The 25,842-nt window shown below is 38.3% G+C and overlaps 1 protein-coding gene and 1 long non-coding RNA gene across 13 annotated transcripts in view, besides 4 other annotated features; one reads left to right on the top strand and one right to left on the bottom strand.

The window, feature by feature from the left end:
* EPM2A-DT (EPM2A divergent transcript) overlaps positions 1-12,496 on the bottom strand; it is a 151,717-nt gene extending 139,221 nt beyond the window's left edge. The window contains exon 1 of the long non-coding RNA NR_038246.1: positions 12,445-12,496. This is a non-coding gene — a long non-coding RNA (EPM2A divergent transcript). The remainder of the gene's footprint in view (positions 1-12,444) is intronic.
* The window catches only part of EPM2A (EPM2A glucan phosphatase, laforin), a 352,671-nt gene continuing 338,170 nt past the window's right edge, over positions 11,342-25,842 (top strand). For 9 of the 12 annotated variants that reach the window (XM_024446550.2, XM_011536113.3, NM_001360057.2 and 6 more), the window contains exon 1: positions 11,845-12,167. In XM_024446550.2, coding sequence (XP_024302318.1) covers positions 11,867-12,167 — 301 coding nt within the window. In that variant the 5' untranslated portion in view covers positions 11,845-11,866. Of the gene's footprint in view, positions 11,458-11,844; positions 12,168-25,842 lie in introns of those variants that run through there. The other 3 variants (NR_153398.2, NM_001360064.2, NM_001368131.1) reach the window with 2 other exon arrangements.
* Positions 11,431-11,480: an enhancer, noted in NCBI's record as "active region_25226". NCBI's record gives its function as "activates an Ori minimal core promoter by ATAC-STARR-seq in GM12878 lymphoblastoid cells {active_cell/tissue: GM12878}" and the evidence as "EXISTENCE:reporter gene assay evidence [ECO:0000049][PMID:35858748]".
* Positions 11,501-11,550: an enhancer, noted in NCBI's record as "active region_25225". NCBI's record gives its function as "activates an Ori minimal core promoter by ATAC-STARR-seq in GM12878 lymphoblastoid cells {active_cell/tissue: GM12878}" and the evidence as "EXISTENCE:reporter gene assay evidence [ECO:0000049][PMID:35858748]".
* Positions 11,561-11,620: an enhancer, noted in NCBI's record as "active region_25224". NCBI's record gives its function as "activates an Ori minimal core promoter by ATAC-STARR-seq in GM12878 lymphoblastoid cells {active_cell/tissue: GM12878}" and the evidence as "EXISTENCE:reporter gene assay evidence [ECO:0000049][PMID:35858748]".
* Positions 11,781-12,370: a silencer, noted in NCBI's record as "silent region_17642". NCBI's record gives its function as "represses an Ori minimal core promoter by ATAC-STARR-seq in GM12878 lymphoblastoid cells {active_cell/tissue: GM12878}" and the evidence as "EXISTENCE:reporter gene assay evidence [ECO:0000049][PMID:35858748]".

The raw sequence follows: 25,842 nt of genomic DNA, 5'->3' as shown, positions 1-25,842 counted from the left end.
TTTGTGTATATTTCACAAACATAAAAATGTTAAAATTCTATGTTCTCTAGAAGATGAGAATTTAGCCAGAGTTTTCAAAGGATAAAATTGGACAAAAGTTTAGATAAATTAACTTACATTTCTGAAATTTAGGAGAGTCAATACCCACGTCGAATCAAGTAACTGAATGGCATCACTCAAGATGAAAAGAAAACAATGATTCAAAGTGGAAATACAAACTGTAAAAAAAAGTAGCATTATAAAAATCTTATTGTAAATTTGCAGCTAAGTAGATTCCAGAGAAATGCAAAACGTTATTCCAAAATGATAGAAAACTCTATATTTACATGTTCAACTCAAGTAGATAATAAAATAACATTTATATCAAAACTTCTGTTTTAAAAGTATGAACTTAAGAGCATAATGCCTGTGAATTTAGTTAAAAAATTAAATGAACAACTTTAATCTAAAATAACATGTAGAGTTTTATATTTTATGTTTAAATTTGTATGAGTGTTTGAGTGTTTATCTCTATCTACCTACCTACCTATCATCTATCTCTACTCTCTATCATCTATCTATCCATTTATTCCTCCATTATCTACCTAGCTATTTATCCACCTAGCTATTTATCCATCTATTTTTCTATTTATTCATCTACTATAAGTCTAAGGCTGGTTAGTAAATTGTATGCTTTTAAAAAGGTACATCTCACCACTCTACATTTAGCATTTTTCTGGTCACCAACATGTATGTTCAGCCCCTTCCCCCACTTTCTCCTTAAGAAAGGTAGATCCCTTTTGTAATACTTCTTATGAATCTGAAACTGCCTCCTACTGTTTTTGCTCCCTGATGTAGATGATGGTATTACAATTCACAAATATTTGCTGCCCTTTTCAGGAATAGCTTTATATTTTCCTGAATAATTGAATAACAACTTGGCCATGTGACTTGCTCTAACGATGAAATATGAGTGTAATTGCCTTGCATCACTTCAAAGCAAAATCTTTAAGAGCCATCTTTTTTTTTCTTTTTCCTCTGTCTCAATGACCCACAAAATTCTAGCTAGAGGCTTCTATTTTATCCACCACGGCCCTGGAGTGAATATGATATAAGGCAGAGATACAGCCAGCCCAAGATGGGCATGTGATATGATTGAGACATAAAACTCTTGTGATTGTTAACTCATGGATTTTTTGGGGACATTTGTTGCCAAAATATAACTTAATCCTGACTGATACACCTAGTGTTTCAGCCTTTTTCAAAAAAGCTGCTTGGCATACAGAGAAAGAAAATATGGGGTGGGGAATGATTTGCTCTTTGGAAGTTGGGAGGAGAGATTCCTTTCAAGTGAGTGGGTATGTGCTGGCTCTCCCCTGGTAAACAGGTGAAGGATAAATGATAGGTAAAGGGTGAGTAGGTAAAGGGCAAATAGGTAAAGGGCAGCTTCAAGATCAATCCCTACCTACCACTGGATCCCTAGAGTGGCGGTTGTCCACCTAGAAGGTAAAAAAACATGTACTGAGGATGACCTACCTACTGAGCACATGGACCATGATTTTTACCTTGGTGAAAAATGCCAAAGATGCTCTTCCATTTTCGGACGGGGTGACTTGGAAAGAAGGTAGCATAATAAATTCTCCTGCTTCTAAAAGTTTTAAGACTGCTCTTCAACAGTATCCCAGGACGATGTTACTCCTTGGAATACGCCAAGGAGGAGAATGGGTTTAAAAATACTGATTGTGCATGCAACCATTGCTTTTAGAGTGGTAGAGAATATTCTGAAAAAGCTCTATGATTATATTGTTCGCAAAACCAAAATATCACTGACATCTTTTCTTGAATCGAATTATTCTTCTCAGTCATGGATTGTGTATTTCTGGTGCATGTATCATGGACACTTGAGGGTAACTCATAGTCTTTCAAAGAAAGGAGTAAGGATGAAGAGACTGGGTAAACATCTCTCTCCAACAATCCTTCATATTTTAGGAATTCAAATTTATAGATGAAAACAAACTGATCAACTTATAAAACAGCCTCAGTTTTCTTGTACATCAAAGAGGCTCGAGCACAGAGGTTCTTTGTGCTCTTTAGAATCTGCAGTTCTTAATACAATAGATTTTTCTTTGAATTTTCTAGCCCAGGTACACCTAATTATATTGACTAAATATTAATAACCATTAATCTGGTGAAATCAATTATGCTTCCATTTATTTTATGGAAGAATTTCAAAATTAAATCATAGAATCGATTGCTACTCCAACTTGGACATGCAAACTTAATTAAACCACAGAACTTTTTTTTCAGGTGAATTTAGTGCCCCTGCAATGTAGTCACTACAGTGCAGTTAGAGCTGGACACTTGCCAGAAATAAAAGATTCTGCGAAATCAATCCTTTCCTCAGAGTAATAATAAATCACAATTTCTAAAAAGAATGTTGCTGTTTCCCAAAGATATTTACTTATAAAAAACAGTCTCATGTGTCTAACCTAATACTGAAAAGATTTGATGACTGAATGAGATTACTAAATACGTATTAGTCTTGCAATGATTGAAATTGTTTGCCTGGCAAGCATGTGGGTGCATGTACTCACATACTCACTCCTGAAGGTAACAGCAAACAGATTATAACAATTTACAATGTGCTGATTTCTGTGGTTGTGAAATAGTATAATGGAACTCATGTTTTCATATTAAAGTGAGGTGTATGAAATGGTTCATCTCTTGATTTTAATAAGTTTGATATTATCTCTTTGGACATTAAACATCCAAGACATTATTTACTTCTTTTCTTTTCCAGTTCTTCTTCATAGAACTACTATAACATCTTTGTCTTTTTACCTATTGTCTTTGTAACAAATAGTGTTATGTGAAACATGTAAAGTACCTAATTAGTCTAAAATGTATTTGGGTAAGCCAAAATGTATGTTTGCATATAATTAAATTGGAGTAACAATTTTAGAGTTCTGTATTCTTTTGTTTTTACTCTAAAATTACATACTTTAAAATTTCCTGCCTCTGCTTTTGTTGATGCAGGTACCTGACTTGGAATACAGCTTCCTTCTACCTTCATTCCTTTCTTGTTTTTTGCCTGTCCCAAATTCTGGTTGCAAGCCCTTTGTTATGTGAGATCAGACCCAACCTTCTCACATAGAGAAATGTTGAGAGGATTAAATGAGATAAAGTAGGTAAGATAGCCCAGTGCCTAGCACTTAATAGATAAAAGCTCAATAAATGGAAAGTTACTAGTATTATTACATATTGTTTAAAAAGTATCTGAGCTTAGCCTTAAAGTGCCAGGTTGACTGCATGTCCTGCATGCTGGAGTACTCCATTGGGGTCACCGCAGAGTTATGTTATTCTTTATAAGATTATTTGTGCCTTGGTGTATTTTATTATTTACTATTGATTGAGGCCAACCCCCAAAGTTATGTATGAAATCTTGTAGGTGTTTATCTGTTAAAGGTGCAAGGGATTCCTATCTGGTAAAAAAGATATATCCAAATGTTACAGTTTAATTGCCCAGTAGGAAGTTAATCAATTTTGTATCTAACCTAGTAATTGTCTAGCATTCTTTCAGTGCCTACATACATTGTATTTAAAATTCTCTTTGAATCAGCTTTACCATCCTGCTGGTTCTCTCATTAATTTACATACATGAGAGTCATTTTAGAAAATTATATTTTACTTAGGTTCTAGTGCATGCTTGGACAAGTGTATATATCTGAGTAAATAGCTGTGTCCACTAGTTAAATATGGGTACGCTACCTCCCTCTACACTATTTTTGCATTTCCAGGGAATCCACAAATTTCTAGTAAGAACTAGAGTTTAGGGGAAGGCCAGGGTCATTACTCAACTTCTGGTGTATCCTTTCTCTCACACTGAAGGTCAATAGGGTTTCACCGAAGACTTCTCATTTCCAGTTACTACCAACTCTTATCTTCCTCTCTGGGCTCTCTTCTTCTTCCAGCTGATGGTGAAGTAAAAGAATGTTTCAAACTTACCTTCTGCCTGCAGCCCAGTTTTATGTTTAAAATACTTTTAATATAACACACATACAGTGGTTAGGAAAAATAAGCACAGAGTGAATTACAGAGGGTTCAAGTTCTTAAAAAGTACTAGTCTTTTTCAGCACCATCAGGTAATTTATATTCTTCTCTAAACTGGTTATTCTAGTTAGCAATTCTCATAACCTTTTTTCAAGGTTCTTAGCTTCCTTGCATTGGGTTAGAACATGCTCCTTTAGCTCAGAAAAGTTTGTTATTACCCGCCTTCTGAAGCCTACTTCTGTCAATTCATCAAACTCATTCTCCATCCAGTTTTGTTTCCTTGCTGGTGAGGAGCTGTGATCCTTTGGAGGAAGAGAGGCATTCTGGTTTTTGGAATTTTCAGAATTTTTACACTGGTTTTTCCTCATCTCTGTGGATTTATCTACCTTTGGTCTTTCATGTTGGTGACCTTCAGATGGGGTTTCTGTGTGAACAACCTTTTTGTTGATGTTGATGCTATTCCCTTCTGTTAGTCTTCCTTCTAACAGTCAGGCCCCTCTGCTGCAGGTCTGCTGGAGTTTGCTGAAGGTCCACTCCAGACCCTGTTTGCCTGGGTATCACCATGGAGGCTGCACAAGAGCAAAGATTGCTCCCTGTTCCTTCCTCTGGAAGCTTTGTCCCAGAGGGGCACCCGCCAGATGCCAGCCGGAGCTCTCCTGTATGAGGTGTCTGTCGACCCCTGCTGGGAGGTGTCTCCCAGTCAGGAGGCATGGGGGTCAGGGACCGACTTGAGGAGGCAGTCTGTCCCTCAGCAGAGCTTGAGTGCTGTGCTGGGAGATCCGCTGCTCTCTTCAGAGACCTCAAGCAGGAACGTTTAAGTCTGCTGAAGCTGTGCCCACAGGTGCTCCTTCCCCCAGGTGCTCTGTCTCAGTGAGATGGGAGTTTTATCTATCAGTCTCTGACTGGGGCTGCTGCTTTTCTTTCAGAGGTGCCTTGCCCAGAGAGGAGGGATCTAGAGAGGCAGTCTGGCTACAGTGGCTTTGCTGAGCTGTGGTGGGCTCTGCCCAGTTTGAACCTCCCAGTGGCAGTTTTTTACACTATGAGGGGAAAACTGCCTACTGAAGCCTCAGTAATGGCAGACGCCCCTCTCCCCACCAAGTTCAAGCATCCCAGGTTGACTTCAGGCTGTGCTGACTTCGCTGCCGTGCTGGCAGCGAGAATTTCAAGCCAGTGAATCTTAACTTGCTGGGCTCCGTAGGGGTGGCATCCACTAAGCTAGAACACTTGGCTCCCTGGCTTCAACCCCCTTTCCAGGGGAGTGAACAGTTGTGTCTCGCTGGCATTCCAGGCACCACTGGGATAAGAAAAAAAAAATTCCTATAGCTAGCTCGGTGTCTGCCAATATCCCTGAATGAATATCGATGTGAAAATCCTCAGTAAAATACTGGCAAACAGAATCCAGCAGCACATTAAAAAGCTTATCTACCATGATCATGATCAAGTCAGCTTCATCCCTGGGATGCAAGGCTGGTTCAACATATGCAAATCAATAAATGTAATTCATCACATAAACAGAACCAATGACTAAAACCACACAATTATCTCAATAGATGCAGAAAAGGCCTTCAACAAAATTCAACACCGCTTCATGCTAAAAACTCTCAATAAACCATTTATTGATGGAATGTATATCAAAATAAGAAGGGCTACTTATGACACACACACAGCCAATATAATACTGAATGGGCGAAAGCTGGAAGCATTCCCTTTGAAAACCAGCACAAGACAAGGATGCCCTCTCTCACCACTCCTATTCAACATAGTACTGGAAGTTCTGGCAGGCCAATCAGATAACAGAAAGAAATAAAGGGTATTCAATTAGGAAGAGAGGAAATCAAATTGTCTCTGCTAGCAGATGATATGATGGTATAATTAGGAAACCCCATTGTCTCAGCCCATAATCTCCTTAAGGTGATAGGCAACTTCAGCAAAGTCTCAGGATACAAAATCAAAGTGCAAAAATCACAAGCATTCCTATACACCAATAATAGACAAACAGAGAGCCAAATCATGAGTGAACTCCTTTTCACAATTGCTACAAAGAGAATAAAATACCCAGGAATACAACTTACAAGGGATGTGAAGGACCTTTCAAGGAGAACTACAAACCACTGCTCAAGGAAATCAGAGAGGACACAAACAAATGGGGAAACATTCCATGCTCATGGATAGGAAGAATCAATATTGTGAAAATGGCCATACTGTCCAAAGTAATTTATAGATTCAATGCTATCCCCATCAAGCTACCATTGACTTCCTTCACAGAATTAGAAAAAACTACTTTAAATTACACATGGAACCAAAAAAGAGCCTGTATATCCAAGAAAATTCTAAGCAAAAAGAACAAAGCTGGAGGCATCACACTACCTAACTTCAAACTATACTACAAGTCTACAGTAACCAAAACAGCATGGTACTAGTACCAAAACAGATATATAGACCAATGGAACAGAACAGAGGCCTCAGAAATAATGCCACACATCTATAACCACCTGATTTTTGACAAACCTGCCAAAAAACAAGAAATGGGGAAAGGATTCCCTATTTAATAAATGGTGCTGGGAAAACTGGCTAGCCATATGCAGAAAACTGAAACTGGACCCCTTCCTTACACCTTATATGAAAATTAACTCAAGATGGATTAAAGACTTAAATGTAAGACCTAAAACCATAAAAACCCTAGAAGAAAACCTTGGCAATACTATTCAGGACATTGGCATGGGCAAAGACTTCACGACTAAAACACCAAAAGCAATGGCAATGAAAGCCAAAATTGAGAAATGGGATGTATTTAAACTAAACAGCTTCTGCACAGCAAAAGAAACTATCGTCATAGTAAACAGGCAACCTATAGAATGAGAGAAAGTTTTTGCAATCTATCCATCTGACAAAGGGCTAATATCCAGAATCTATGAGGAACTTAAACAAATTTACAAGAAAAAACCAAACAACCCCATCAAAAAGTGGGTGAAGGATATGAACAGACACTTCTCAAAAGAAGACATTTATGCTGCCAACAAACATATGAAGAAAGCTTGTCATCACTGGTCATTAGAGAAATGCAAATCAAAACCACAATGAGATGCCATCTCATGCCAGTTAGAATGGCGATCATGAAAAAGTCAGGAAACAACAGATGCTGGAGATGATGTGAAGAAATAGGAATGTTTTTACACTGTTGGTGGGAATGTAAATTAGTTCAACTATTATGGAAGACAGTGTGGTGATTCCTTAAGGATCTAGAACCAGAAACACCCTCTGACCCAGCAATCCCATTACTGGGTATATACCCACAGGATTTTACATCATTCTACTATAAAGACACATACACACGTATGTTTATTGCAGCACCATTCACGGCAGCAAAGACTTGGAACCAACCCAAATGCCCATCAGTGATAGAATGGATAAAGAAAATGTGACACGTATACACCATGGAATACTATGCAGCCGTAAAAAAGGATGAGCTCATGTCCTTTGCAGAGATATGGATGAAGCTGGAAACCATCATTCTCAGCAAACTAACACAGGAACAGAAAACCAAACACTACATGTTCTCACTCATAAGTGGGAGCTGAACAATGAGAACACATGGACACAAGGAGGAACATCACACACCAGGGCCTATCGGGGGGTGGGGGCTAGAGGAGGGATAGCATTAGGAGAAATATGTAATGTAGATGATGGGTTGATGGGTGCAGCAAACCACTATGGCAGGTGTATACCTATGTAACAAACCTGCAAGTTCTGCACATGTATCCCAGAACTTAAAGTAGAATAATTTTTTTTAAAAAGTACTTATCAGGTTTGCCCTGCCAACAGTCTCCATTCTCTATTTAAGTGTAAATGAGTAAGCTCTGCTTTCAGCTAGCCTCTTTCCTTTTTCTCAAAGTCTTTGAAAGTTCCTTTGGGAGTTTCAAATCTTCCCTTCCAGCCACCATTCTTTTATTCCTAAGGGTTGAGTTATCATGCTCTCCACTCTGTTTGGGAAGGGTATTAACCAGCCTGCCATTCAAGTTACTCAGACCTAGGAGGATCTTTTTACAGCTGAAGGAAGCTCTAAACCAGTGTCTCTAATCTTGAGGTCCAGCCACCTGGCTTGGCACTCTACTTTCCCCAGGCAAAGTCATTTTAGGTCATTGCCTAGGAAAACCCAGGCTTGAATGACCCTGTTGAGTAGAGGTTTTCAAAGGAGAAGTGAAGGGGAGGAGGTGTAGATTTTACAATGATGGAGGTGTGTGACGGAAAGGGCAGGTCAATGTCTTCTGAAAGGGCATACGTTTCATTGTAATTTCATGCTTGGAGCATTCCTAAAAATTAATATTTTAATAATGTAAATTGTAAAGAAAGAAGAATGACAAAACAGGCCGGTGGTGATGCACTGAAGATGCAAAACTTCTCTACGGTGGTATGGATGGGAACTGGAATTATTGGAATCGACTGGAGACGAGATTTTTATATGTATCAAAAAAAGACATGAATTTTTACAACAGTTGAGGAATGTAGTGGGATTTTGGGGCAAAGCCTTAGTTTAGTTTATATCCTTCTATTGTTCTAGATTTCCAAAGGGGTTTCTAACCCATGGGAACCCCAACTTATGAGGTAGCCTAAGCCATACTTTTTCAATCCAGAAAAAAGTTAGCTGTAACATGCAAAAGTTTTTAAGCTGTATTCAAACTCTGTCTGAAAGGGATTTTTTTTTATTGCTACAAAATTGCATAGTATATGTGACACATTTAACTTTTAGATATGTTTTGTTGAGTAATAAACTAATACTTATAACAGTCCCTGAACTATGTGGATAAAATATGGTTTACATCAGTGAATGTGTATACACATATAAAATACTACAAGGAAAGATTTATGATAACTCACTGACTAGTGAAAGATTGCTTCAGAAAGCATAAATCTCCCAAGATCAAACTAATAGCTTTCCCTGAGGGGGCTTCAAAAGAATTTACATTTGAATTGGATCTTGAAACTCTATGTTTGAATTTATCACCCATTCCTCAGGAAAGTTTATAGTTATATATAAGATAGCATTATAAAAATGAAATTCAATGACAACAAATTGTTTTGGTCTTTTAAAAATTATTATCATAATTATGTTACTCTACTGGACTGATTCTTGCTCTAAATTTAGCTTGTCCCCATAGCATCAAGAATCTGACCTCAAATGGATTTCATAAATAATCCCTTTTAATAAATACCATGATTCTTCGAAATGTAAAAAGAAATCTCATATGGAGGACCCAACAAGGAAAAAGATCTAAAACTAACACAATTTAAAAACTGGTAAAATTCTTCACCTTGGCTTCTTAAATCTGTTTCTATTGCCAACACATAGGTATAAAAAGGCATACAAATTATAATTTCCAAGAACCTGCAGCCAAATCCTCTCCAAATGCTAAGATATATGTGTCTTTACAGAGTCATTGATCCGTTTAGACTGCCACTCATGATTCATCTGTTCTTTAATTCCTAAGGATGAAGTTAGTTACAAGAAATAATGATAGGAATTTATTTTTTTTAAATTAAGAGCTGACAGAGAATAACATTTAAATATGCTAGAATTTATATGCATTCTGAAACAGATTTTCCTTATCAGAATTTATATCTGTATCTATATCTATAAGCTGAATGCACCCCTTTTAGCCCCTGGCTCTGCCCCTTCCTTGCTGTGGGCTGTTCATTGGACCCTTTTGTGCTGAAGTATCCTCACATCTAAAAATGGGGGTAACAATTGTAGTTACCTTATAGGATTGGTGAGAGACTTAAATAAGATAATATGAGTACGAAAACCATGTGCCTGGCCCATAATATAGGCTCAATGGATATTATCATGGTTAATACTTATACATCCAAATGACTGACCGTCAAAATATGATCAAGGCCTTGATATATGTCCCTTAAGCCCTATTTTGGTCTTGTTCTCCTTTCCAGTTGCATTTTACTTACTACACAGTGCAGCTATCCAATTTATACCTTATTTAAATCCTTGCCATAAAATAAGCTATTACAAATTTTGTTTAGGGGCTTAAGAGGGTTACTTCTTCCAATGGTTAAAATTATTTCAACCTCTTTATGATGAAAGAAGAGTAAAGGAAACAATGTCCGTTGAGCAAAGATATTGTTTAATTTTTCCGCTACTGTTTCTTCTACAGAATGGGCAGAACTCACTCTGGAAGAGCTGGTGGGAATAATGCCATTTGGGAAGCACACAACATAGGCAGCACAGTGGAGCACAAGAAAGTCCGGAGCTGTTAGCTCCCAGGTCCTGAAGGAATGAGAACTTTCACCGGAGTCTGGATTCCACTGTAGACAAAATCCTCTCTGCATCGCCAAATGACTCTTATTTTCCTAAACTTACTCTAAGAATATCTTTTAACAGCAATTTGAATAAACCGACTCACATGCCACTGTGATTTAATGTGTGATTTGCTGCCGAATCAGCTGTGTTTGGCCAGCCCTTCTGTCTTCACATTTTTCATAGTGTTTATCCTTAAGCTTAGCAACCAACCAAACTTCGAGTGGAATATCAACATTCAAGAGTAAAATGTATTATTAGTTTTCTAATTGTTCCACAAGAGATTGAGTTTGTGTAGTTTACATTTTTGCACTTTCTGTTTTACTTATATCCTCAACGCATGAAATTTTGGCCTGTTCCCCTTTACTATTCACAAACTTCCAAACACTGGTAAAAATGCCTTTGTGTGTCTTTAATTCACGTAACAGATTTGTGTTATGTTAAATGTTAGTGAATATATAAACCTAAGAATACAAGGATAATTTTGTTAAAGAATCAAAAAGTATCAGGACATTCGTTTGTCTTATGGCAGAGACAAATTGAAGTTCCCCACCAAGATATACGTATTTTGGATTTGGGCCAGACAGCTAAAAAACCTGTTTCAACTTAAAACCCAAAAAGGTTTTAAGTTGAAAAAATAATGCTGACTTTTGCTGAAAGTAAATTTTAAACAAAGGTTTTTTTTTTTAATTTACTCCATTAAAAATGCATACATTTGGACAGAGCGAGACTCTGTCTCAAAAAAAAAAAAAAAAGCATACATTTGTAGTCACAGAATTAGTTTTTGTTTTGACCTTGAAAAGGACTTGAAAGTATTTACTCCAAACTTACTTTACACATACTAAAAATATAGTTTTTGAAAAAAGAAAGTTGATGTGGCTTTTCAGACAAGGGAATGGTAGGTAATGTTTTGCATCAGCTCCGGGTCTTGGGTGATCTCCACCAATCAGAGATCCTTCAGAGCTCGTAGGGTCTAGAAAGATCATTATTTTACACCCTCATTTTACAGACAAAGAACCTGAGACCTGCTAGAGTAAGTGACTTGGTTAAGATAGGGAGCGCTCCAGAGACCAGGTCCAAGATCTTCCCCCGTTTCACAATTAGAAGGCGGCTGTCTAGAGGTCATTCCCTTCCTTATGATCCTCATAAAGTTAATTTCCAGTCTCTTGGAGAGAGAACTGGACGATCGCCTGGCTTAGAAGTTTTCCTCCCTCCCCGAACCCCGTTTTCTCTTCCATTTCTTCCGGTCGCGTGTCCCCAGCGCCCACAGGTGGAAATCAACCGCCCGCGGGGTTGCGGGGCACAAAGAGGCAGCTAGCGGCTCCGCTGACCCCTTCCCGCCGGCCTGGACGAAGTCTGGGCTCGGGAGCCGCGTGATGCATCCCAAAGAAGGCGCAGAACAGCACGTGTTCTCCCCGGTGCCCGGGGCTCCCACACCACCGCCCAATCGCTGCGGCCGCCTAGTGCTCGGGCCGCGCCTGCCGGCCGCGGGGACTCCGGGCCCGGGTATTCGCGCCGCCGCCGCCCGCCATGCGCTTCCGCTTTGGGGTGGTGGTGCCACCCGCCGTGGCCGGCGCCCGGCCGGAGCTGCTGGTGGTGGGGTCGCGGCCCGAGCTGGGGCGTTGGGAGCCGCGCGGTGCCGTCCGCCTGAGGCCGGCCGGCACCGCGGCGGGCGACGGGGCCCTGGCCCTGCAGGAGCCGGGCCTGTGGCTCGGGGAGGTGGAGCTGGCGGCCGAGGAGGCGGCGCAGGACGGGGCGGAGCCGGGCCGCGTGGACACGTTCTGGTACAAGTTCCTGAAGCGGGAGCCGGGAGGAGAGCTCTCCTGGGAAGGTATTGCCAGCAGACGCCTGCCCCCGGCGCAGAGCGGGAGCTCCGGCCCGCACCCCCAACCGGGGCCTCGGCCTCGGGCAGGCCCCGCAGGCCCCGGCGGCGCGCGTCCCGGGCTTTTTGCCCGCGTCCCTGCGCACTCCCCGGGCGACCTGGGCTGACCCTGCTCTGCCGGCCACGCTGTCGCCGCCAGCCGCGCCTCCGGCTTCCTACTGATTCCCTAGACCCGTATAGCGCTCCCGGCCGCCTTCCCGCCCACTCTGTTGCCTGCCCCTCTGACCTGGTTTCCGCACATCCAGTCCTCAGCTTCTTTCCAACCGCGCCTGCGTCACGGGCCAGTGCCCTTCGTCTCCCGCCCGGGGCTCCCTTCGCCCTCCGAGTGCCCCTCGACCTCCGAGTCCCCCCCTTCGCGGGTCCCTTGGCTGCCCGGCCGCGCGCCGCTGATGGCTTCAACAGCCCAACTCCGCCTTGGTTGGGTTTTGTGTCCTCATTTTCCTGCTCTAATTCACTAAAAAAAACCCAAAACGATCCAACCAACGAAACTAGCGTTTTCGCTAATCCTAGACAGCAATGTGCTACTTAGATTTTTTTCATAGATATTGAGAATGAACTAATGGAAAAACGTTGAATATTTCCCTTTTTGGATTTTTTTTTCTTTTTTAATCCCAGATATATGACAATTGAGACATGACCTGATTTCTTAAAATACTAAAACAATACATGCTGGTTGTAAAATAATAATAAAGAAATGTACATAGTGAAAACTTACAGTGTTTCCTCCACACATCTTAAGCACACTGCTTGTACACATTTATGTATGTGATATATGCATATACTTTTTTTTTTTACAAAAATTGTATAGTAATTCTGAATTTTTGCTTTTCTTGCCTAACAATATGTTAGGGACATCTTTCACTGTCACTACACGTAGATATGTATTTTACATGTAGATGTATATTTTAAATGGCAACAAATTATTCTGCATCTACCAATGTGCATTTAGGTTCTTTTCAGTTTTCCTCTGTCGTAAACAGTAGTGGCTTAATTGAAATTCCTTTTACAGATATCTTTGAACATTCGGGAGTGTTTCTGCAGAGTGGATTCAAAGAAGTGAAATTATTAGGTCAAAATGCAGTCATTTTTTTTAACACTTCATTAAAGACTGCTAAATTATGCCCTAAAAGGGTGATTATCTAATGTCGGCTCCCGCCAACAGTGTCTGAATTGAGACAGCTCCTTTCTTTAAAGGAAATGTGCAAGGTTGTAGACTGGAGTGGGTGTGACTCAATAGTTGAAGTCAATGAAATGAATGTCTCTTTAGAAGTTTATATGAAAAAAAAAATGGGCCATTTAGCCTGTAATGATGTAGAAACAAAGAATCAGTAAAGAAGATTAGAGTGGAATGTGTTTATATATTATCCTTGTTCTCCTTCTCTACCTCACTGGGCTTATGGTCTGGTAGCATTTATTGGTCTGTTATTTTACCATGACAGAATTGAAAGATACCCTCTTCAGTTTATCCTTTCTTTACAGAGTATTACTATTTTTCATAGTATTGTAGAATTATTTTTTAAAATAATATCTGATAATTGTAATAAAAATGGAAATGGTGTGAAACAAAGATCTTCCCTTTCCCTAGTTATTTAGCTTTTCTGATAGTCCTCCCTATGCCGTTAATAGTTTGCTTATGTTGCTATTTCTTAAGGTACCACAAACTTTTGTTTTTAATTTTTCTAATAGTTACCATATAAGTTATATATAATTTTAAAAGTTAAAATTAGGCAATAGATATTGACACCTACTGGATGCTCATAAAATTAACCATCACACTTGTTATGAAATATGAGGAATTTAGCTCAAGTTCACTCTCTGTCTTCCCTGCTGATTTTTTTTTACTATTATTTTCAGTTTTTTTGATAAATATTTTTCTTTACTATCCAAGCAGGAATTATTTTCAGTTTTGTATTAAAAATTGACTGTTGACTTTCTAGGAAGTTACTCCTATAAGAGAGGATAAGAAAAATATTACAATTTCTTCCTGTCTCACTTTGGTTTATTATGACTTTTACATTATCAAGTTTTATATAATTTATATTCTATTTTCTAATTGTTACAGTGCCTTCTTGTTTAAGGTAAATAGACTGATTCTAAACATCGTAAATTAACAGAGAGCTTTATGAGAAGCAGGGTAGCCAAGTGTTTAAGAGCAAGGATTCTGGAGCCAGATTGCCTGGGCTCACCAACCAGTGTGGGATTTGAGGCGTGTCACCTCAGCTCACAATGAAAGGACCAAGCTGCCTAATAAATGAACTGTATTTTGTAGAATAGGATATATATTAAGAACTTACAAGAGGACATATGGTAAATGTTAAATAAGGGCTAGTTATTATTTTTTACTATGATTATTGGGAAACCACGTTGTGCAATTAGACTCGTAAACAAGGAAATAAAATTTTGTGACATGAAAACTGTACCACTGCAAGGAAAAATTCTCTTTTCTTCACTATAAATCATGTTCAGATTTTACTTAAAATGGTACTAGAATTTGTTTTACTTCATATTTGGACTGTAATGTTCTTCTACAACTTATTTAAAAATTTGTTATTAATTTTTTTAACAGAAGAGTTAAACCAGTTCTCACAATGTCCTAGCTTAATTGCACTACTTGATGAATGCATATTGCTTATTTCTTGGAAATAGAATTTTTTCCTTGAAGAATTAGGATTCCTGTTCTAATTTTCACTTTTCACTAATATATGGCTTTCTGATATATATATATATATATATATGTGTGTGTGTGTTTCTGATATATGTATCAGTTTTATATAAAATATTGACCGTTGACTTTCTGTTACATAGAAAGTTCATTCTCATAATCCTATTATGCAGGAAGTTACCCCTATATGAGAGGATAAGAAAAATAGCTTACTTACACATTCCTCTCCCTTCCTTACTTTGGCGCGCACACACACACACACACACACACACACACACACACAAGTCTTAGCTGTAAACCTGAGACTTTAAAGAAAACAATCGAACTCCTATGTTAGTTGCACTGTTTTAAATGGTATATCTTCCTCTTTCTTAAAAACCTTAATCATTTCTTTGGAAAATTTTCAAGAAATGGTAAAATCAGAGAGAAAATATCTGAGCCCTCAAATTCCTAAAATGTCTTTATTTGGCTTTCCCACTTGATTGATCATTTGGTACAGTATTCTGGTCTTAAAATAATTTTTCCTTTGAAGACTTTGCCTCAGTAATTTCTAGCTGATAATTATCAGCTGTGGCTGATAATTCTAATGTGAAACTAAGCCCATTCCTGTTAGCAGTCTGTTTTATCACTTGGCACTTGGTTGGCTCTTTAAATTCCAGGAATTGTTTCCTTCAACTCAGGGAAATTTTCTATGATTTCTTTCTCTTTTTTTTGTTGTTCATTAAAAAAATTTCTTCTAAAAAATGACATATATGTGCAGAATGTGCAGTTTTGTTACATAAGTATTATACATGTGCCATGGTGGTTTGCTGCACGTATTGACTCATCCTCTAAGTTCCCTCCCCTCAACCCCCACCCACCAACAGGCCTTGGTGTGTGATGTTCCCCTCTCTGTGTCCATGTGTTCTCTATGTTCAACTCCCACTTATGAGTGAGAACATGTGGTGTTTGGTTTTGTTTTCCTGTGTTCTCATTAGTCATTGGGCACTTAGGTTGGTTCCATATCTTTGCAATTGTCAATTTTGCTGCTATAAACATACATGTGCTCTGTAGTCAATTGTTTTTTCAGGATGGCTTTTTTATTCTATTGATTTTTCTCCAGTATCTGGTAGTCCTTGGATATCCATTCATTTTTATGAATGAAGGATATGCTGATCAGTAGGGGTAGCTGTGGTGGTTTTCTGTTGAAGTTGTTAGGTTTATTGAAAACCTCCTCTAAATGGGAGAACACTCCATGGAATACTGTGTAATTTGGCAGATTTTGTTAAGGATAAAATTCCGCTCAGGGTGTGTGGCTGGGGAGCCAGCAGGCTTAAGATCGTTATCATTGGCAAAGTAAAAAGAACTTGATCATGAGGTGGGATAATTTAGTATATTTTATTGTTGAATGGAGTTTCCTTTTTTTTTTTACCTCTAGGTCTGTCGTGTGGGTCTGTAGACATCACAGGATTTGTTTCACCCAATCTCCAGCTCCTATACCCACACTAGGGTCCTTTCCAGGAAACCCTTTCCCTGCTGTGTTTAGAGCATGCTTATTCCATGTTGGTGATGGGAAGGGGTTGAAGGAGGCAGGTGGGAAACCTTTCTTTCAACTCCTCTCCAGGCTGACATGCGTTTATTTGTTAGGTTTCCTCTTTCATGTTGCTTTTCTAGAAGACCTCCCTAACTACCTACTGATTCTTTCTCGTAACATCTGTTCCTTTTTCTTATATCACTTATTACAGGCTAAAAATCACATTAACTATGCTGGATTGGACTCTTTAATTGCAAGTAACAGAAACTGAATGTGAACCAGTCTAAAAATAATTTTAAAAAAATCAATTCATGTAACCAAACTGAAAGAAGCATGGAGTACAGCCTCTCTCTCCTCACTTGCTTTCTAGCTCTCACTCTCTTGTTCTCAGATTTGCTTTTCTCAGGTCTTGGCTTTATTTTCTCAAGATAATTGACTCTGTCAAGCTAGGCTTTCCCACAAGAAGCTCAGGACTATATGCCTAAATTGGATGTCACGTGCAGTGTCACACTGTATTCTCTTGGCTTTTCCCTTAAGGCAACAAGATGGCTGCTGCAGCTCTGTTCATCACATGTGCATTTAGTGGAATAAGGGAGAAGAAGGAAGAGTGGAAGAATCATCCTTAGGTATTCCCCATAATCTAGGAAGCAAATGTTCACCAGAATACCTCCACACTCCCACTTTGTTTTATGTTTAGAATTGGCCAGAACTATTGTGTTTGACTACCTCTGCTGCAGAAGAGACTGGGTGTATTAGTCAGTTCTTGCATTGCTATAAAGAAGTAGCTGAGATTGGGTAATTTATAATGAGAAGAGGTTTAATTGGCTCATGGTTTCACAAGCTGTACAGGAAACATGGCTGGGGAGACCTCAGGAAACGAACAAATATGGCAGAAGATGAAGGGGAAGCAGGGACGATCTGCATGGCTGGAGCAGGAGGAAGAGAGAAAGATGGGGAAGTGCTACACACTTTTAAACAACTAGATCCCATGAGAACCTACTCACTATCATCATGAGAATAGCAAGGGGGAAGTCCACCCCCATGATTTAATCACCTTCCACCAGGCCCTTCCTCCAACATTAGGAATTATAATTCAGACATGAGATTTGGGCAGGGACACAAATCTAAACCATATCATTCCACTTCCAGCCCCTCCCAAATCTCCTGTCCTTCTCACACTGTAAAATACAATCTTTCCTTCTCAACGGTCCCCCAAAGTCTCAGCTTATTTCAGCATTAACTCAGAAGTTCACAGTCCAAAGTCTCATCTGAGACAAGGCAAGTCCCTTTTGGCTAGGAGCCTGTAAAATCAAAACCACTTAATTACTTCCAAGATACAATGGGGGTACAGACATTGGCTAAGTACTCCCATTCCAAAAGGGAGACGTTAGTCAAAACAAAGGGGTTATAGGCCCCACACAAGTCCAAAACCTAGCAGAGCAGCCATAAAATCTTAAAGTTGCAAAATAATCTCTTTTGACTCCATGTCTCACACCCAGGTAACATTGATGTGAGGGGTGGGCTTTCAAGGCCATGGGCATCTCTGCCCCTGTGGCTTTGCAGGGTACAGCCCCCATGGCTGCTTTCATGAGCTGGTATTGAGTGTCTGTGGCTTTTCCAGGCCCACGGTGCAAGCTGTTGATGAATCTACCATTGTGGTGTCTAGAGGACAGTGGCCTTCTTTTCATAGCTCCAGTAGGCAGTGCCCCAGTGGGAACTCTGTTTGGGGGCTCCAACTCAACATTTCCCCTGTGCACTGCCTTAGTAGAGGTTCTCACTGAGGGCTCTGCTGCTGCAGCAGACTTCTGCCTGGATATCTAGGTGTTTCCAAATATCCTCTGAAATCTAGGTGGAGGCTCCCAAGCCTAAACTCTTGCCCTCTGTGCACTAGCTGGCTTAACATCACATGGAAACTTCCAAGGATTATGGCTTGCACCCTCTGGAGCAGTGGACTGAGACATATTTGGGACCCTTTTAACCAAGGCTGGAGGTGGAGAAGCTAGGATTCAGGGAGCAGTGTCCTGAGGTTGTACAGGGTAGTGAGGCCCTGGGCCTGTGAAACTATTTTTCCCTCCTAGGCCTCCAGGCTTGTGGTGAGAGGGGCTGCTATGGAGGTCTCTGAAATGCCTTCCAGGCCTTTTCTACATTGTGTTAGCTATTAATATACAACTCCTCTTTACTTATGCAAGTTTCTACAGCTGGCTTGAATTCCTCCCTAAAAATGGGTTTTTCTTTTCTACCACATGGCAAGGCTGCAAATTTTCCAAGCTTTTATGCTCTGCTTCCCTTTTAAGTATAAGTTCCAGTTTCAGATAATCTCTTTGCTCATAAATATGAGCATATGCTGTTAGAAGCAGCCAGACCACACCTTGAATGCTTTGCTGCTTAGAAATTTCTTCCACCAGATACCCTAAATCATCTTTCTCAAGTTCAGATTTCCACAAATCTCTAGAGCAGGAGCACAATGCTGCCAGTCTCTTTGCTAAAGCACAACATGAGTGACTACTGTAGTTCCCAGTAAGTTCCTTATCTCTAGCTGAGACCACCTCAGCCTGGACTTCACTGTCCATATCAGTATCAGCATCTTGGTCACAACCATTCAACGAGTCTCCAGGAAGTTCCAAACTTTCCTTCATCCTCCTGCTTCCTCTGAGTCCTCCAAACTGTCCCAACCTCTGCCCAACACCCAGTTCTAAAGCTGCTTCCACATTTTCAGGTATCTTTATAGTAATGCACCTCTTCCCAGAACCAGTTTTCTGTATTAGTCAGTTCTTGCATTACTATAAAGAATGACCTAAGACTGAGTGATTTATATAGAAAAGAAGCTTAATTGACTTATGATTCTCCAGGCTGTACAGGAAGCATGGCTTGGGAGGTCCAGGAAACTTACAAACATGGCAGAAGGCAGAGGGGAAGCAGGCACGTCCTACATGGCTGGAGCAGGAGGAATAGAGAGAAGGGGGAAGTGCTACACACTTTTAAACAACCAGATCTCATGAGAATGCACTTTCACAAGAACAGCAAGGAGGAAGTCTGCCCCCGTGATTCAATCGTCTCTCACCAGGCCCCTCCTTCAACATTGGGGATTACTGTTCGGAGATGAGATTTGGGTGGGGACAAAAATCCAAACCATATCACTGGGAAAGTGCTTTATTTAGGCCAGCACATTCCTTCCCTGAAAAAAATTAGGGTAGTGATTACCAAGAAGAATGAGTAGAGTAGATTTTAGGTAGGCAGCTAACAATGCATGCTACAGTTTAAAACAAAAATATCATGTACAACATTTATTTGTGTATTTATTGGTTTTTGTCTCCTACCAGATTGTAAACTCTATGAGTGTAGGGACTATGTGTATTTTATTCATTCTTTTATATCCTGCAATTGTAGTTGATACATAGTAGCTGCTCAGTAAATATTGGTTGAATGAATAGAGCACAGAACAGAAACGGAGGTTTTTTTTTTTTATCATGGGCTAATTACTTCTTAGGTGCTTTCAATTAAATTACCCTTTGTCCTCACAACAACACTGCAAGGCAGATATTCATTTCTCTGTTATATAAATAAGAAGATTGAGGCTTTCTTCTAGGTCTAATCTGCTATGAATCCCATCCAGTGAAATTTTATTTTCAGATACTGTATTTCTCATCTGTAGAAGTTCCATTCAGTATTCTTGTGCATCTTTTTCTTTTGTTCTCATTTAGCTTATGTTTTTCTTTAAATTCGTGACCATGTTGAAGATATAGCCAGTGTCCTTATCTTCTCGTTTCCTTATATATGTCATATTTGGGTGTGGTTTCTATTGACTAATTTTTCTAACAGTTATTGATAGTATTTGACTACTTCTTTCCATGCCTTTTTGAGTAACCATAGCTGAGCTTTATTTGTGGATTATTTTAAGGTATGATAAATTATATTACATGTATTTTTAAGAATAAACTGTTCAGAATAATTTTAGATTTACAGAAAAGTTGCAAAGACGGTACAGAGTGTTCTTATATACTCCTTACCCAGTTTCCTCTGTTGTTAATATTTTATATTAGTATGACACTTGTGATAATTAAGGAACCAATATTGATACATGATTATTAACTAGGATCCAGATTTCATTCATATTTCATTATTTTTACTTAACATACTTTTTCTCTTCCAATACCTTATCTATATGACCACATTACATTTATTATGACTGTGATAGTTTCTCAGACTTTATGTATTTCTGCAATGACCTTAAAAGTTTTGAATAGTATTCATCAGGTATTTTGCAGAAAGTTGCTCAATTGGGATTTTTCTGGTGTTTCTTTCTCATCATTAGACTTGGATTATGGGTTTTTGGGAAGACCATCAAAGTAAAGTGCCTTCCTTATTACATCATATCAAGGATCTATACTATTAACATGACTTACTACCGTTTGTGATGACTTTGATCATGTAGTTGAAGTCATATTTGTTAGTTTTCTCTGCTGTAAAAGTTGTGTTTTCCCCATATTTCCATACTGTAGTCTTTCAGAAGAAGTCACTGTGCAGTGCTCACGTTTAAAAAGTGAGAAGTTATGTTCTGCCTGCTTGAGGGCAGAATATCTACATTAATTTTCTGGAATGTATTTATATGGAGGATTTGTCTCTTCTCCCTCATTTATTTACCTATTCAATTATTTATATATATAGGAATTCACGGATATTATTTTATACTTTGGTTTAAATATCTTACTACTTTATTTTCTTGTTCAGTTTATTTCAGGTTTGGCCATTGAGTACTCTTTCAGTGACTTCTCTTTTGTGTCTCTTTGACATCCCCCCATCTTTGTGTGTGTGATTTTTAGTTTGTTTTTGAGCACTTCCTTACTTTCTGGCACTACAAGGTGCTCTGAGATCATCTTTTATGTCTCCTTCCTCCACGCTAAAATTGGACATTTCTCCAAGGAGCTCTGTTTGATTTTATTGTAGAATGATATTAGAAATCAAGATCTGGGCAGTGAGTGTGCCTCTTCCTTCTGGGATATTGTTGCTTGTAGGCCTTCTTAGCTGGCAAAACAAAGAAATATACATTTATATTAATTATGTATATATATGGGAAATATATTCTTTGTAATATAAAGTTCTGTGGATTTTGATGATGCACAGTGTCATGTATTCATTATGATAGTCTCATTTCGACTAGTTTCACCTCCCTAGAAACTCCTCTGTCTTTTGTCTATTCAACCCTTCCCACTCCTCAAACCCTTGGCAACCACTGATCTGTTTACCATCTCCATAGTTTTGCCTTTCCACAATGTCAAATAATTAGAATCGTACAGTGTGTAGCCTTTTCAGACTGGCTTGTGTCACTTAACAATATATTTAATATCTATCTATGTTTTTTTCTGTAGCTGTAATTTCTTTTTATTGCTGGATGATGTCCCATTATATGTATGTTCCACATTTTGTTTATTTGCCTATTGAAAGACATCTTGATTGCTTCCAGGTTTGGGTGATTATGAATAAACATTGGTGTGCAGATTTTTGTGTAGGTATGAATTTTTATATCAGTGGGTAGATATCTAGGAGTGGGTTTGCTGAATCATGTGATAAGACTACTCAGCATTGTAAGAAACTGCCAAACCATCTTTTAGAGTGGCCTAGTATTTTTCATTTCCACTGGCATAGAATGAGAGTTCCTGTTGCACATTTTCATCAGTGTCGATGTTGTTAGTGTTTTGGATTTTAACTACTGTAATAGGTGCATAGTGGTATCTCATTGTTTAGATGTGCAATTCTGTAATAAATGATATTGAGCATTGTTTCATATACTTATTTGCCATCTGTATATATTCTTTGGGTGTCTGTTCAGATCTTTTCATTTTTAAATTCATGATTTTTAAGAGTTCTGTGTATATTTTGGATACAAGTCTTTGAGAGATGGGTGATTTGCGAATATTTTCTCTCAGTGTGTGACTTATTTTTTATTGTAGCAGTGTCCATTGCAAAACAAAACTATTAATAAAATCCAACAACTTTTTTTTTCTTTCATGGATTATGCTTTTGGTATTGAACAAAAAAACTCTTCTCCAAATCCAAGGGCGTCTAGTTTTTCTCCTATGTTATTTTTGGAAGTTTTTACATATGTATATATTTATAAGCCATTTTCTGTTAATTTTTATGTTTTATATAAGGTCTGTGGCTAGGTTCTTTTTGCTCCCCATATGGACATCCACTTGTTCCAGCACCATTTTTTGAAAATACTGTCCATTATTTTTTAAATTGTCTTTATTAGAAACCACCTGACTTTATTTGCATATGTCCATTTCTGTGCTCTCTATTCAGTTCTATATGTCTGGTTTTTTTGAAACCAGTATCACACTCTGTTCATTACTGTAGGTTTATACTAATCTTGAAATAGTGTAGTGTGAATCTTCCAACTTTGTTCTTGTTCTTCAAAATTGTGTTGGCTCTTGTTGGTCATATGCTTTTCAAAATACTTTTTAGATTCAGTTGTTGACTTGTACAGAATAGCTTGCTGTGATTTTGTGTTGAAGCTATAGATCGAGTTCAGAAGAACTGACATCTTAACAATATTGAGTTTTCAAACTTATGAACATAGAATATTTCTCCAGTTTTGTTAGATTTATACATAAGGGTTTTTGGTATGCTATTTTAAATAGTATATTTAGTTTTTCTTAAACAATTAAATTTCAGTTGTTCTTTGCTGATATCTAGGAAATAAATTAACTTTTGTATCTATTGATTTTTGTTTGCATGCTGGCCATTGTAATTTCCATTGTTTCATAGAATTTGGATTAGTTTCTGACAGTTAAGTTACTTGTGGATTAGCTTGTTCTATGTAAGGTTCCTCTTGAAGGTTTACAAAGGCAGGTCTCTAGGAAGGTTAGTGCAGCCCCACTATTAAGCAATGAACTCTGGGTTCTTTACTGAATGCCTCATGTATTCAGTGCCCCAAGATTTCCTCACTTTGTCTGGTGGAGACTAAAATGTTTCCCAGTTCTGTGTAAGCTCTGCAAGTTGTCTGGCTTACAATTTTCAGAAATTTTTCTTTTCTTTCTGTTTGTTCTTTGTATGACTCTGTCAAAGTTTACGTTATGCATCCACAGATTGACATGCAGCCAAAGAATCTAGGAAACTTTTATGCAGATTTATGGACTTCTTTGTCTGCATAGCTTTCTCATCTCTGGTATTTAACTCTCACTTTGTTCTCCCCAAATGTGAGAGTAAAGTCCCACATCCCTATGTCATGGTTTGGAAATGCCCTGAAGTCAGAAATCCATGGCATTTATATCATTCATCTTGTTTGTTTTCTTCTCTTAGGGATTATAGTCCTGTACTGCCCTTTATTCAACATTCAAAAACAATTATTTTATGAATTTTGCCATTTTTCTAGTTGTTCTTTTTGTTGGCAGGAACAGAAATCTCTACTGATTTTAAAAAATTTTGCAGGCAGGTATTTGTCCAGCATATTCTTAAATTTTTTGCAAAATAATAAGTCTTGATTTTGTTATTTAACTTATTTCTAATTCTTTTGGTATACTTGTGTGTTTTTGTGTTCTGTGTGTATGCATATGTATATAGTCTAAATTATATCTTTCTTGTGAAATTAGATTATTTGTTTTGGAACTCTCTTCCTTCATGCTGAAAATCCTTAACTCTAATTATAATGTGCCATTAGATTGACATGTCCCCACTCAGTGATACTCTGGGTGAGGTTTTATATTCTTAGATTTTAATGGCCATAAATTCAGCCTTCTAATTATCACTATTTTTTTACTCCACTCTTTCATTTGTCCTGCACAAACTGTAATTTACCTTCATTTCATATTACCTTTTGTGCTACAGCATTTATGTTAGAGCATATTTGATATAAAAATTTTGAATCCTTAAATAATCTATTATAATTTAAGAAGATTAAACAAATCAACATGAAATTTTATGTCTTTAAAATAACACATTTGTTTGCGAAGGCAGCCATAATCAAGTACCGCACACTGGGTGGTTTAAATAACAGAAATTTATGGTTCCACAGATCTGAAGCCTAAAGGCCCAAAATGAAGGTGCCGTCAGAGTTGGTTTCTTATGAAAGCTGTGAGGTAATTATCTGTTCCAGGCCTCTTTCTTTGGTTTATAGATGGCTATCTTCTCCCTGCCTCTTAACACCATCTTCTCTTTTTGTCTCTGTGCCCAAATTTCTTCTTATAAAGGCACTAATCATATTGGATTGGGGCCACCCCTAATTACCTCATTTTAACTTTATTACCACTGTAAACATCCTATCTTCAAATAAGATCACATTCTGAGGATCTAGGAGTTAGGACTTTTATATGAATTTTGGGGGACACAGCTCAACCCATAACAGAGTAAATCTTTTCTAATACTTCATTCACCAAATTATTCTAACATTTCGGGTTATGATTTAGTATTCCCTTCCATACCACATTACCTCTACTAGGCAGGACATGGAAATTTGGCAAGTAAATTTTAATATCCCATATAGAAACTCTGAGCTCTAGAACTTATTAGGGAGAAGTTCTTTGTGTTTGTGTTGGCTGTGCGGTATCTTTGTATTATCAGTAAGAAGAGAATTGAGAGAAAATGCCAACAAAACTGGGAGGTGAGTAGAGACTCTGTTTATTCCAACTGGTCCTTTTCCTTGACTTTTCTCTTAATTTCCCCATCCTTCTTTTCCAAAATAAATATTCATTTAATGTGTTGTTTCAGCCAAAATGATTCAGAGTTTTTGAGAACATTATCAAGAAGTACATTCAAATCCAAATGAAAAGGCTTTTCCTTTACTCTTGGATTAAACCAAAGTCTTCTACAAATCCAAAATAAAATTATGCCAGACTAAAATAATCCAGGTGTATAAATTGCTACAGTTTCTCATTCTATCTCCCCCCGTATCTGATCTTCCATCATTTACCAGGGTTAATGATAACTGAAATGATATTACTTGTTACTTTTAGATGATTTATTCATGTTCCATAGAAGCAGAATGGAGGTTCTAATATTAGGGCAAATTAAAGAAAGTAGTGTTGCATGCTCACAGGTGAGAAGAGACAAAAGTTATGAATTTTTCCCCCCAAAAGGTAGTAAAGCAGCTACAATGTTATGAAGTGTTCTTTGGTGACCTACCAGAAACAAAATAATAGTTTGAATAAAGTATAAGCTTAAACTAGTATAACATATTTTATGATTTCTAGAGAAATAATAGGCATCTGATAGAGATTTTTTATTTGTGTAAAAATAATGCTCATGTGTTTGAGATGTGAGAGTGAATGTGTTTGAGATATGAGAATGAATTGTGAATGAATGAGAGTGAATGCTCATGTGTTTGAGATGTGAGAATGAATTGTGCTTGCAGAAAGCCAGTAAACAGATAGTTCAATGAGATAAGAGCTGTCTTAGGAGATTGTACCTTTTTCTGAAAGAGCTGTGGTAAGGCTGACAGGTCAAGATTGACTGAC

This window comes from Homo sapiens, chromosome 6 (genome assembly GCF_000001405.40).
Source record: "Homo sapiens chromosome 6, GRCh38.p14 Primary Assembly".
Lineage (NCBI taxonomy): Eukaryota > Metazoa > Chordata > Mammalia > Primates > Hominidae > Homo > Homo sapiens.
This window is presented reverse-complemented; position numbering and strand designations above follow the sequence as displayed.